The 14,646-nt window shown below is 48.3% G+C and overlaps 1 non-coding gene across 1 annotated transcript; it reads left to right on the top strand.

Annotated features, from left to right (window-relative positions):
- The first annotated feature begins 12,697 nt into the window (after positions 1–12,697).
- Positions 12,698–12,754, top strand: MIR1471 (microRNA 1471). Its single transcript, NR_031717.1, has one exon. It is a non-coding gene; the product is annotated as a microRNA 1471 (primary transcript).
- Positions 12,755–14,646: the final 1,892 nt, after the last annotated feature.

Here is a 14,646-nt window from a genome sequence, read left to right as displayed (position 1 = left end):
GGAGCAAGGGTCAGCCACATTCTCTCAGATCAGTTAAAACCATGATGCCTCTCACCTCCCAGGATGTAGATCAGAAAGTGAGTGAAGGGGGAAAGGCACTCCAGACTTAAAAAAACAAAACAAAACAAAACAAACCCAGGGGAGGACCCAGTTGGCCTAGCTGGGGTCAAGGACCCACCCCTTGGGCAGTCAACTGTAGTACACGGGTTCTGTGATGAACACCCCTCACCCCCAACATGAAGGCCTTTGATGGGCTTCATCCTAAACGAGGCTGAGCAGACAAAGTGAGTGTCCCAGGGCTGGATGGGGACCGGAATATGACTGCCCCAGAACCTGGCTCCCAGGGCTGCAGCAGTGTCCATGCCTGGCTCCACCCCCACCAGGGTAGACAGAAACCACCTGGGCTCTGCACACAGCTGCACTGCGCTTCCTGCAGCCAGGTATTGTGGTGGGGACATTGGAGATGGGGCAGCGCCTCAGTCAGGCCACCTGACCAGCGCACAGTGACCCCAGCACTGCAGGTGCTGGTGGGGTATACCACCCCCCAGAAGACAGGGCTCCTAGAAGGCCTCAAGGTGGCCAAAGTTCCTGGAACTGCCAAAGTCCCTTATCGCCACCCCTTCCACAGGAGGCCACAGCCACTTTCTCCTCCTCCGCCGAGGCTGGGGAGGTGAGAGAACTCTGCTCTGGCCAACGCCCTGGAGACGGCCTCCTGCTAGTGACGGCTGGGCCCTGACTGGGGCAAGGAAGAGCTCTGGGCCGGCAGGCGGCTGGGTCGTAAAAGTGCATGCACCTGCTGGGCATCCTTGGGCCCTGCAGGCTGCACCCAGCCCCAGGCTGACATCCTGTTCTCAGTCCCAGCGAGGAGCCTTCCCTCCTGGATGCTTGAAGGTTCCAGCCTGCTATGGTCTGAATATGTCCCCCAAATGTGTGTTGGAAACTCAATCCCCAAAGCAACAGTGTTGGAATATGGGAAATGTTTAGGTCATGAGGGCTCTGCACTCATGAATAGATTAATGCCATTCTAAAAGGGCTTGATGGTGCCATTGACTCCCTCATCAAGAAGGGAGTTTGGTTTCATTTTGCCCTTCCAGCTTCTGCCATGTGAGGACAGAGCGCTCCTCCCTCTAGAGGATGCAGCATTCAAGGCGCCATGTTGGAAGCAGAGAGCAGACCCTCACCAGACAATGGACTTGCTGGCAACTCACTCTTGAACTTCTCAACCTCCAGAACTCTGAGAAAATAAATTTCTGTTCTTTATAAATTACCCAGGCTCTGGCATTTTGTTACAGCAGCACAAAGTGGGCTAAGACATGGCCTCCTCCTGGACGTACGGGTGAAGCACTGGTCATCTCTGCCAAGCATCCCTGCCCATAAGGCCCAGCTCCCCCCACAGCCAAGGCCTCCCCATGCACATGGCTCGTGTCCACAGACACCTTGCTGGAGAGCACGTGAAAAGGCAGGTGCTGACCTTGCCCAAATGCCCACATGCCCCTGTTCAGTAGTGGAAACCCACATTCTCCCCTTCAGGCCAGGCTGGGCCACGAAGAAGTCAGGCCTTGCCTGTCCCCTGGATCCTGGGTAACTATAAGATCTGCTTAGAAGAACTCTGGAGGCCAGGTGTGGTGGCTCACACCTGTAATCTCAGCACTTTGGGAGGCCGAGGCAGGTGGATCACTTGAAGTCAGGAGTTTGAGACCAGTGTGGTCAACATGGTGAAACCCTGTCTCTACTAAAAATAAAAAAAAAATCAGTTGGGCGCAGTGGCAGGCACCTGTAATCCCAGCTGCTCAGGAGGCTGAGGCAGAAGAATCACTTGAACCCGGGAGACAGAGGTTGCAGTGAGCCGAGATGGCACCACCGCACTCCTGCCTGGGCGACAGAGCAAGATTCCATCTCAAAAAAAAAAAAAAAGAAAAAAAAGAAAAAGAAGAAAAGAACTCTGGGGCCTGGAAGCCAAGGAGTAACATCCATGCTAAGTGCAATCAATCCCAGGCCCTCAGCAAGATGTGGGTCCCAAGGGCAGCTGGCTGTTGGGGATGGAGTGGAGGCTGGTTATCAATAATTCCAGGTCCTTCCATCATTTGCCGGATTGGCTCAGCAGTCTCACAATGTGTGACAGGCAGAACATTGAGTCCCCAAAGAAGCTCACGCCCTAGTCCTAGAGTCTGTGAATGTGTCACGTGACATGGCAAAAGGCCTGCAAGAGTGAGTTATGGATACAGACCCTGGGGTGGGGAAATGATGCCAGGTAGTCTGGTGGGGCCTGATGTCATCACAAGCGTCCTTAAAAGTGGAAGAGGGAGCCAGATGAGTCCATCAGAGGAAAAAGTGGCTGCAGAAAAAAGGCAGGAGATGCAATGCTGCTGGTTTTGAAGACGGAAGAAGGGGACCCAAGTCAACGAAAATGTGGGCGGCCGCAGGAGCTGGAAAAGGCAAGGAAGCAGATTTTCTCCTGGAGCTTCCAGAAGGGAGCGCAGCCTTAACAACGCTTTAATTTTGCCCATGAAACCCATGTTGGACCTCTCATCCGCGAGAACTGTGAGATAAATCTGTGTGGTTCAAAGCCACGACATTTTGGTAACTTGTTAGAGCCACAGTGGGAAATTCATATGCCACGACAGCCTGGCTGTCCAGAGAGGACAGTGCCGAGCTGCCAGCGACATTTTTATTTTTTATAATAGCTTAACTGGGATATAATTCACATACCACGTACTTTACCATTTTTTTAGAAGTGATCTTGCTGTGTTGCCCAGGCTGGAGTGCAGTGGCGTGATCATGGCTCACTACAGCCTTGAACTCATAGGCTCATGCCATCCTTTTGCTTCAGCCTCCCGAGTAGCTGGGATTACAGGTGTGAGCCACTGCACCCTGCTAATTTACCATTTAAAGTATACAATGTACTATACAATTTTTTTTTTTTTTTGGAGGCAAAGTCTCACCCTGTCGCCCAGGCTGGAGTGCAGTGGTGCAATCTCGGCTCACTATGCAACCTCTGCCTCCCAGGTTCAAGCGATTCTCCCCGCCTCCCGAGTAGCTGGGATTACAGGCATGTGCCAGCTAAATTTTGTATTTTTAGTAGAGATGGGAGTTTGCCATGTTGGCCAGGCTAGTCTCGAACTCCTGAACTCAACTGATCCTCCCGCTTCTGCCTCCCAAAGTGCTGGGATTACAGGTGTGAGCCACCGTGCCCGGCCCAATTCACTATAGAATTTTAAGGGTTGTTTTGTAACTTCTGGAAATGGTCTTCATCTTTTAACCTCTGAAATATCCATCACTAACAAACCTCCAACTGCATATCCAGAGGCCAAGAGAAAATGTTTGTGCATATGACCAATGGTTATGAAATAAAAGACTGATATCAAATAGCTCATCCCTAATGAACTTCTGACTTCAAAGATCTGGCGTTTGGTGAACAGCAGTGAGTGTGTTATTAGCTCAACACCTGGCAGCTGGGATCCTCTTAGGAGGGCCGCTGTCTTGAAGTAGAAACACCTGGAAAAGGTGAGGTTTGAGGACGCGGAAGGGCACAGGCACCCAGTCATCAGAGAAGGCGAGCTGAGTTTTCCGCGAGATGAGGAGGAGACTGGCTGTGCTCCGGGGAGGGAGACAGAACAAAGAGAGGGGGAACAGGGAAGCCAGGGGAGGAGGCACTGGTGAGATGGGAGGGTAGGAGGATCATCCAAGGCCAGTAGAGACCAAGAAGGAGGTGGGACCCTGGCACAAGGCACATCTCAGGGACTTGGTGAATTTGCTGAGATGTGAGTCCCCTTTCCTGTCAGGGTGGGCCCTTTGGGGGACGGGGGATTAAGGAGAGCCTGAGCCTCACACTTTGACTCCTGCCCTCAGAGCCACACTGCCCCCAGGGGCCACACTGCACAGTGACGTGGGGGAAAGCCGCTGCATTCGGAGCTGCTGAGATCTTGGGCAGGGCTTAAAACTCCTCAGGGCGTGGAATGGGGCCCCAGGCTGAGCTTTTATCAAATCCAAGGGGCTGAGAGACACCCCCACCTCCCACCAGCACACACACCCCAAGCTCACATATGCTGGTATACAGGTGGGGAAAGGTCGATAATATTCTAATATTCTAGCTGTGTCACAGTTTTTTGCCTTGAGCCAATAATTAGTGGCCAGCTCAAAAAATATAATCTTTTCAATCACTAGGTAAGCAGTGTCCTCTCACCCCCTTCCGTGCTGCTTGGGTCCCCACCAACCGCGACAGACAGCTGCTTGGGTCCCCACCAACCGCGACTCTACCGTCCCCTCTGATCCCTGGGACTGTAAGCGCCGGCCTTGGCCACTGCTGGTCCTGCGGCCTCTGGCACCAGGCACCAAGGCGCCGCCTGGCGGTCAGAATGGGCGTGGACGGCAGAAGGGAAGTCCGTGCTCTCGCCGGCTGCTCCTTGAGCCAGCAGGGCCACTGGGGCCAGCTTCTGTGCGGTGCATTCGCACGACCACGCCCCAGGTGAGCTGTCCCTGGACACCCAGAAGCTGTTCTGAGCCCAACTTCCCAGAACCAAAACTAAGGTCCGCTGTTTCTCTCCACAGGGTTGGTCAGATTTTTTTCTTTTAAACCTTTTGCAACAAAAGGGATCTAATTACCTTCCCTTGGCCCAGGCCATTGTCACATTCCTTTGTCCAAGCTCAACGCCCACTTGCCCTTCTTATTATTTATTTTATTTTTGAGACCGTGTTCGCTTTTGTTGCCTAGGCCGGAATGCAATGGCGCGGTCTCAGCTCACTGCAACCTCTGCTCCCGGGTTCAACCGATTCTCCTACTTCAGTCTCCCAAGTGGCTGGGATTACAGGCGCCCACCACCACGCCCGGCTAATTTTTGCATTTTTAGCAGAGACGGGATTTCGCCATGTTGCCCAGGCTGGTCTCAAACTCCTGACCTCAGGTGATCCACCCGCCTTGGCCTCCCAAAGTGCTGGGATTACAGGTGTGAGCCACCGCGCCCAGCCTTTTTTTTTTTTTTTTTGAGACAGGTCTCACTCTGTTGCCCAGGCTGGCATGCAGTGGCGCAATCACGGCTCAATGCAGCCTCAACTTCCCAGGCTCAAGTAATCCACCTCAGCACCACATAGCTGGAACGACAGGCAGCGCCACCACACCCAGCTAATTTTATTTTTTGTAGAGATGGGGTTTTGCCATGTTGCCCAGGCTGGTGGCACCTTCTTGAAAGGGAAGGGGCTGAGTGTGGTGACTCATGCCTGTAATACCGGCACTTTGAGAGGCCTAGGTGGGAGGATCCCAACAGCCACTCAAGGCAGGAGCCCAGGAGTTCGAGACCAGCCTAGGCCACAGAGTGAGACTGGTCTCCACACAGACAAAAAAACACCACAAAGAAGAGGAGGAACAAAATATAAACTTAACCTCTAGCAGGATACCTTAACATACCTACAATCCCAGGTTTAATTTTCAGGCAAAGCTAGTGAGCATCTTTGTATACTTTAAATTGCAATGTGTGCTTATTGAATTATCTGCTTTTTATCTTGTTTGAATTATATAAAATATTGGCGGTACAGTCATATATTTTATACTTCGACTAGCACAAACATTATTTTATCATATGTCAAAAATAAATTTAGAAGCTCAGCTTCATGCAGACAGCAATTTTGCCTGTTTTGCTCATCTCTGCATCTCCAGGGTCAAGAAAACTGCATGTCCCGCAGTAGACCCTCAAAACATACTTGTTGAAGGAGGAAATTAACCAATTAATTAATCAACTTCACAAATTTTTAAAATACATTAAAATGTCTGTGGTACTATAACTCACAGCTTCCTTGTAATACTAAAGAAGTAATAATACAATGCAGTCATTTTCACATTCCTTTTTAGATATTTAAGCTATCAATTGTGCTTTACCTTGAATAGATTGTTTCATTAAGAAACAAAATTGGAGATTCCTAAGACATTCAATGTATCTTCCCCTGAGACAAGAGCATAATATGTTAGTATCGATAATTCTGAAACTTTTGAAGTAATGGAAATTCATTGAAAAACAAATTAATCATGATGGCCCAAAGAAAACGATAATGTAATAAACATTCAGCAAATTACAAGGTAACCCCTTACTATCTCCATGACATTGGGAAGGTAACATCACTGAATCCAAAACTCCTCATTTGTAAAATGGATAACATCTCACTTTCCTATTTCATGGAATTGCCACGAAGATTAAATGGGATCATGCATGATAGAATTTTGCAACCCTTTGTAAAACATCACTGAGCACTAAGCCTTGCTTAAAAACAATGTGTGGCTGTCTGATTCTACATACCAAAAATGGATATTTTAATTTTTTAAAAAGTCAGTCAGATAAACAATACTCAACCAGATATTTGCTATCATGTGTGTTTCTTTGAGCTCCATTGCTTGTGTTTACGGCCATCTGGATTTCTTCCTCAGTGAATGACTTGTTCTTTGACCATTTTCTCTATTTAAAGTAGCTTTTTATATATTTGGCACATTTACTCCTTGTCTGTCATGTATTTTGCTATTATTTTGCCCAGATAATGTTATTTGCCATATTGAAGTTTTAGATCTTTATTTATATGTATATGTATATATGTATAAATTCAACTAGAACATTATTTTATCATTTAGCCATGCCTAATTTTCTGTTTTTCTTCTTTTGTAGAGACAGGGCCTCACTGTGTTGCCCAGGCTGGTCTCAAACAGTCCTCTCACCTTGGCCTCCCAAAATGCTGGGACTACAGGTATGAGCCACCATACATGGCCAGTCTAAGATTACATCGAGTTTTTTTGGTTTTTTTTGAGACGGAGTTACGCTCTTGTTGCCAGGCTGGAGTGCAACGGCGTGACCTTGGCTCACTGCAACCTCTGCCTCTTGGGTTCAAGAAATTCTCCTGTCTCAGCCTCCCTAGTAGCTGGGATTACAGGCGCCCGCCACCACGCCCACCTAATTTTTTGTATTTTTAGTAGAGACGGGGTTTCATTCTGTTGGCCAGACTGGTCTTGAACTCCTTGTGATACCCTACCTTGTTTTAACCTGATTGTCTCTCTTAGCTGAGAGAGCCAGACAGACTCCATTTTAGTTCCTTCACTTACAGCCCCTTTACCTCCCTCCCTTAAGGGCATAACTGGTGCAAGCTGACTCCATGCACATCCAGGAATGCACTTACTGAGAAGATATTGAGGCAAGCTGAACCAGCAGCTCCTGGGGACGCTCGGTGGATGGCATCTAGAGCCCCTGCCTTTATATCTTTGTGATAGTTTAAGCCCCCTGCACCTGGAACTGTTTATTTTTTCTGTAACTACTTCTGTAACCAATTAATTTTTTTAACTTTTTGCCTGTTCTGCTTCTGTAAAAATTGCTTCAGCTAAACTCCCCCTCCTCTAGTTAGACCACGGTATAAAAAGAAATCTAGCCCCTTCTTCGGGGCCGAGAGAATTTTGAGCGCTAGCCGTCTCTCAGTCGCCGGCAATAAAGGACTCCTGAATTAGTCTCAGAGTGTGGCGTTTCTCTACAACTCGCTCAGTTACAACATCCTGACCTTAGGCTATCCACCTGCCTTGGCCTCCCAAAGTGCTGGGATTACAGGCATGAGCCACCACGCCCAGCTAATTTTGTATTTTTAATAGAGACAGGGTTTTGCCATGTTGGCGAGGCTGGTCTCAAACTCCTGACCCCAAGTGATCCACCGGCCTCGACCTCCCAAATGCTGGGATTACAGGTGTGAGTCACTGAGTCCTGCCATGAATATGCATTTTTTTATTCTTATATGCATTAAAGGATCCTCAGGTAACGCTTATATACATCAAAGTTTGAGAAGCAGTGAAGATAATGATATATGTTTTTTATAACCTTTATCGTATTAATGCAGTAAATTACAGGACCACATTTTCCAAATTTTTAACGACTCTTACACTCCTGTGATAAAACTATGGCTTAAATATTGATGAATAGAATTTGCTAATATTTTATTTAGGATTTTTATGTCAATATTCAAAAGTAAGAAAGATTGATCTGGCTGGGAGGCCTGTAATCCCAGCACTTTGGGATGCCAATGTGGGCAGACCGCTTGGGCACAGGAGTTTGAGACCTGCCTGGGCAACAAAATGAGATCCTGTCTCAACAAAAAATAAAAAATTTAGCTAAGCATGGTTGTGCACCTGCAGTCCCAGCTATTCAGGAGGCTGAGGTGGGAGGATCAATTTAACCCATAAGGTTGAGGCTGCAGTGAGAGGTGATTACACCACTGCACTCCAGCCTGGGTGACAGAGCAAGACCCTGGCTCCAAAAAATAAAAAAAGAAGAAGAAAAGAGAAGAGGCTGGACACGGTGGCTCATGTCTGTAATCCCAGCACTTTGGGAAGCCGACATAGGTGGATCACCTGAGGTCAGGAGTTTGAGACCAGCCTGGCCAACATGGTGAAACCCTGTCTCTACTAAATACAAAAAATTAGCTGTGCCTGGTGGCAGGTGCCTGTAATCCCAGCTACCTGGGAGGCTGAGGCAGGAGACTTGCTTGAACCCAGGAGGTAGAGGTTGCAGTGAGCTGGGATCGCACCACTGCTCTCCAGCCTGGGCAACAAGAATGAGACTCTGTCTCAAAAAAAAGAAAAGAGATTGATCTGTGTAATTTTTTGTGCCAACTTGTCAGGTTTTGGTACCAGGGGTTATTTCTGCATATTCATTTCTAATTGTGTATACTTTTTCATGGTAAAACTTGTCAGGTTTCATATAATAGTATTGGTTGTTTTCAAGGAATAAGCTTCCTTTTCCCTTTTATGTTGACTTCCTATGTATCTTAAAGTCTATTTAAAAAAAAAAAACAATCTATTGGAACTGCTCCTTTTTTAACCACTTCGCACTGTTTCAACTATTGTAGCTCTATGAAATATTTTATTATTTGTTACCAGAAGATTTTGGTAAATCCACTAAACCTTCTAAAACGTCCTTTTTCTTTCCAACTTTCTTGCTCCCTACAGGCTTCTGGTAGAACGTCAGGAGAAAATGACATCACCTTGGAAAGGTCTCCCTTTGAGCTGCTCAGTTGACCAGCGGCTGCTTGCTGTGTAGGTATGCGGGCTCCAGTCTGACAGGCCTGAAACACACTTACCTTCGCAAATGTCTTTACCACATGCTAAGCGCGCCTGAAAAGGAGCCTGGGATTCTGGGATCAACGCAGCCAAGAACACTCTGTCCCATCTTCCATCTTAATAACGAAACGCTGACTGCCTGCTAAAAGATGCACAATTTATTTTAAATATATGAATAGGATGATTGTTTAAAGAGTTCCAGCTGGTTAAATTTAAGTTCCTGCAATAAAACTCTCCTCCGGCATTCTCTGGCTTCGGGCCTCGAAGGGCTACAGGCCCTCTGCTCTGAATTGTGAACTGCGATCTTGCGCGTTCAGGTTTTCCGGTAGTGGCTTTGCTGTTCTAAGTCAAGGCATCAGTGACTACCTTGACCTCAAGAGGACTTCTTCCACTATTTGAGCAACCTGCTTCTAGACCATTCTTGCCAGTTAGGAAAAGTTTTATTCAGTAAAATATTTTCAGTGAACCACTGGACAAAAACCAGGTGGCTGCTTTCCTTTGATCAGAGAAGTCCTCACTCCCTGTATGAGTCTGTTCTCACACTGCTATAAAGAAATACCTGAGACCAGATAACTTGAAAAGAGGTTTCATTGGCTCATGGTTCTGCAGGCTATACAGGAAGCATGAGGTTGGCATCTGCTCGGCTTCCAGGAGGCCTCAGGAAACCTACAATCATGGCAGAAGGTGAAGGGAGAGCGAACACCTCACACGGCCGGAGCAGAAGCGAGAGAGACAGCAGGGAGGTGCCACCCACTTTTAAATGAGCAGATCTCGCGAGAATGCACTCACTCTCACGAGAACAGCACCAAGAGGGAAATCCACCCCCATGATCCAACCACCTCCCACCAGGCCCCACCTCCAACACTGAGGATTATAATTCCACAGGAGATCTGGGAGGGACACAGATTCAAACCATATCTTTCCCCTTCTTCTTTGAATGTATTCGTTTCTTGACATCCACCTGCCAGGGGAGAATGGCCTTCAGGAGCTCGAAGCAGCCACAGGTGTCAAGTCGGGGCTTTCCCAGGCCTCCTTCAGCAGCTTCTCAGGTTCATTAACAAACATGGCCTGGCCTCCAGGTCAGTCTCCGTTAACGCCTCAAGGCTGCCTGGACTCTTCTCTGCCTCTGTTGCCCCTGCAAGGAAACATTCCCTCAGCTTCCAACATCCCCCTTTGTGCCAGGAGTCACCTGGGTCCTGTTAACACAAGGATGGACCAGGGAGGGTGCCCAGAGCTGACATGGGGTGACAAAGGGCACCAGGACTGCATGTCAGAGAGATCTGGGTAAGAAGCAGCTAGGTACCACATCCTACTTCTAACCCAGAGGGATGGAGCGGAGTAGGGCGAAGGCACCAGAGTGACAGAGAGGGTGTGAGAGTGAATCATGGGTGGGCCCCATTCCTCTCTGACAACCTGTGTTCAGAGAAGCGGGAGATGAATGGGACGGCTGGTTGTCTTCATGAAGTTTAGGAGTTAGGTGGAGAAAAACAGTCAGCAGCAGAACTTTACATATGGTTTAAGAATGGCTGCAATGGAAGATTTTTGTATTTGTTTTTGTTTTAGGTTTTTTATTTCTGTTTTTTTTTTTTTTTTTTTTTTTTTTTTGAGCCAGGATCTCACTCTGTCATCCAGGCTGGAGTGCAGTAGTGCCATCACGGCTCACTGCAGCTTCGACCTCCCAGGCTCAAGTGATCCTCCCGCCTCATCCTCCCGAGTAGCTGGGACTATGGGCATGTGCCACCACACCTGGCTAATTTTTTAATTATTATTTGTAGAGATAAGGTCTCATTATGTTGCCCACATTGGTCTCGAACTCCTGGGCTCGAGTCCTCCCACCTCAGCCTTCCAAAGCGTTGGGATTACAGACATGAGCCACTGCTCCTGGGATGGAAAATTTGTTAAGGGAGGAGGGGACAGGTGAGGAAAATTTGGTTGCAGTTCAAGTGAGAAGAGCCTTCACCGTAGAGCAAAGGAGAGTGGACTTAAGTATACAGGCAGTGGGGGAAAGGCGTGATGTTAGAAGTTTATTCGGACAGCAGCTTGTAGGATGTCTGGAGCCATGTACTCTGCTGTTCATGCTGTGATCACCCTGTTGAGCCTAAAAACATTGTATCAGCCAGGTTTCTGCTGAGTCCTACTGGATAACAAACTCCACAATCCCCGTGGCTTAGAGCAGCAATCATCTATATCGCACTCACAAATGTGCCTGCTGGCCAGAGCAGCTCTCCTTCAGGCCCTGGGTTGCATTTAGTTCTCTTCATGTGTCTCTCATTCTGAGGCCAGTGGCTACCTGGGGTATGTTCTTCCCATGGAGGAAAGCAGAAAGTGCAAGAGGGGTGGGTGGCAGCACTGACACTCTTTGGAACTGACATACTGTCACTCTGCCCACACTCCAATGGCCAAAGCATGTCGTATAGCCAAGCCCAACATCCATGGAGCAGAGAAATACACTCTGCCTACTCTAGTGGGAGACACTTTAGCGTCTTGCAGCAAAGGGCATGCACATAAGATTGGAAATAGATCGAAAGGCAACAGTTCATAAAATTCCTTTCAGCCATGATGCTTGGGGGAAGCAAAGACCCATAGAGAGATGCCAGCAGGGATGCTTGCACGCCCCAGACCAGGCAGCTCCAGGAAGTTCCTTTTCATACCTTTCTCTGGAATGCACAAAATGTCTAGGGTTGTTATCCAATAAAAATGCAACTCCTTTCTATCCTCTACTTCACTGTAAAAGTAGCTAATATTTACTAAGCAGTTACCATGTGCCAGCCACTACTCCAGTAATTAGCATAAATCATCTCCTTTAACCCTCACAAGTCTATTAGGTGGTTACTATTCTTTCTTTTTTTTTTTTTTGAGACGGAGTCTTGCTCTACTGCCAGGCTGGAGTGCAGTGGCACCATCTCGGCTCACTGCAACCTCTGACTCCCTGGTTCAAGCGATTCTCCTGCCTCAGCTTTCCAAGTAGCCGCAATTAAAGGCGCCCGCCACCACGCCCAGCTAATTTTTGTATTTTTAGTGGAGACAGGGTTTCGCCATGTTGGCCAGGCTGGTCTCGATCTCCTGACCTCGTGATCCGCCCGCCTCAGCCTTCCAAAGTGCCGGGATTACAGGTGTGAGCCACCGCGCCCGGCCGGGTGGTTACTATTCTTATCCCCACTTTGCAAATGAGTGAAACCAAGGCATAGACTCTAGATCACACAGCTGGTAAGAATGAGAACGGGATTCAGACCCAAGGAGCCTTGGTTGGAATTTCCTCTATGAACCGCCCTTTTTCGTGGAGGAGGTTGGGGTACAGAGCTCGCCATCGGAACTTAGGACAAACACTTAGGGGTCTTAGTTAGGGGAAATTGGGACTATTGTGCAGGTGCCTGGAACAGGAAGTAACCATGAGACTAGAGGAAGGGAAAGAGATTGGGAGACAGTTTTTAAAAACAAAATAAAGCAAAGGAACAGAAAGCTTTAAAAGCCCTTGAGGATTTCTCTGAAGTACTGAACTATGGAGTTTCAAGAGCTGCTAATATCATTGCATTCCTACTTCAGCCTCTACCTGGCGAGGGACTTGCATTTCCTGTGGGTTCTGGGATGGTTTTTATCCCATTCCCGGCTCATCTCTCACGCGGACGAGCCCGCGTGTGGAGCCAGGTGTAGAGGCGGAGCACAGCTGGCTCTAATTTGAGGGGCCTTCTGCCTTTAAAGATGACCTCACTCCATTCCCTTGACTTTTTAATGTGCAATTCATGCCACTTTTCCAAAATTTGGGTAATGATTTATTGGCTTTCTTTCCTGCATTATCCTGTAGCACGAGGGACTTTTGTTTGTTTAGGGGCTTAATAACTGTTCTTGATAGAAGGTTTGTAAATGTATCTTCTATAGGAGTGACCAAAAAGAATACTTTTTTATTTCCACCATCTGGCCATATTTCAGTCTTGGCCAAAGAATTTCTTTCCACCCTCCTGTGTCTCCTACATCTTGCTCTGAAAGGCCAATGTAGAATAAAGGACAGATGGCTAAGGGCCTTTAGTGTCAACAGACCGAGATTTGAAACTTGCCTCTGACCCTTAACAGCCGTATGACTTTGGGCAAAATGTGTAGACGGCACTACTCGGTCCTTTCCAGGAGCAGCAGCGAATCTCACTCTGAGGGGAGCACTCACCCACGCAGCCCTTGGTGAAAGAAGCAGACTCAAGTTGTTGCTAGTGAGGGCGGCCTTGTTCCCTACTCCGCAGCCACCGCTGATTGGCCATCGCGGGAATCTGACCTCTGAGTGCCTGACATGAAAAGGGAGTGGGCACTGATTGGGCCAATGAGGTTCTCTCTCAGAAATCTAAACTGAGGAAAAGAAGGAGTGAGTCACACACAGAGTAGAGGGGTTATCAGGTCCTGGGATCAGGGTCCAGCCCATAGCTGAAGTCCGAGGGGAGTGGGTGGATGGGCAGAAAGAAGACTCGGAGGGCCGTAGGCAGGCGAATATGGTTTTATTCAGCAGCCGCTCTCTTACACAGCTGATGCAAACTAGCTCTTTTACAGTGTCTGCCATGTCTTGGCTGCTTAGTCCTGCAGCTCCCATGCACACCTGTGCGGCCAGCTCTCCACTGCCTTCAGGGTCAGCAGCTTAACTCTTTCTCTCTCTGGGCATGAGCAAGCCGAGCTATGTCCTGGCTCCCTCTTGTCCATCTGCAAGACAGACAGCTTTGGCTCTCTCTCTATCTCTTTCTCTGGGAGCCAGCACACCTGCACAAGAGCCATGTCCAGCCATGTTGAGCCAAGCTGAGCCTCAAGAGCCCCTGTACAGCATTAGTAGGGCAATTATACCTTCTACAGACAATAGTGGCTCAGAGCCAAGTATGAACTTAAACAAACAGGTTGTGTAACAAGTGGAAGTGTGTGCCTGCGCGCCAAACTCGCTCAGACATGCAGGCGTGGATATCCCCCTCACCCTATTCCTTGACCAAAGCACATCCATGTACCTTACAGGAGTAGACCAGGGTCCAGGCCCTGGTGAGTAGCCTGGTCTCAGTAGGTAGTGATGGAGCTGTTTCACTGCAAAGATTCTTAGAGTCTTAAAAATTTCCTAGGTCTCCATCCTAGAAACTTCCCCTTGCAGCTTCCTGAATGTGTTCCATACCTCAACATATCCTGCTTCCTTTTTTTTTTTTTTTTTAAGACAGAGTCTCATTCTGTTGCCCAGGCTGGAGTGCAGTGGTGCAATCTTGGCTCACTGCAACCTCTCCCTCCTGGGTTCAAGTTATTCTTCTGCCTCAGCCTCCCAAGTAGCTGGGATTACAGGCATGTGCCACCACGCCCGGCTAATTTTTGTATTTTTAGTAGAGACGGGGTTTCGCCACGTTGGCCAGGCTGGTCTTGAACTCCTGACCTCAGGTGATCTGCCCACCTTGGCCTCCCAGAGTGCTAGAATTACAGGCATGAGCCACCGCGTCAGGCCCCTACTGTCATTTTTGAGGTCCTCCCTATGCCCCCTTCAAACTCAGCATCCTGGTGTGCTGAACAATGTGGCCCTCCCCTGCACTGGCTTCCAGGCCTCTCTGGGCAACCTCCAAATTCAAAAACATGCT

This window comes from Homo sapiens, chromosome 2 (genome assembly GCF_000001405.40).
Source record: "Homo sapiens chromosome 2, GRCh38.p14 Primary Assembly".
Classification (NCBI taxonomy): Eukaryota; Metazoa; Chordata; class Mammalia; order Primates; family Hominidae; genus Homo; species Homo sapiens.
The sequence above is the reverse complement of the archived record's forward strand: the minus strand, read 5'-3'. Positions and strand labels throughout refer to the sequence as shown.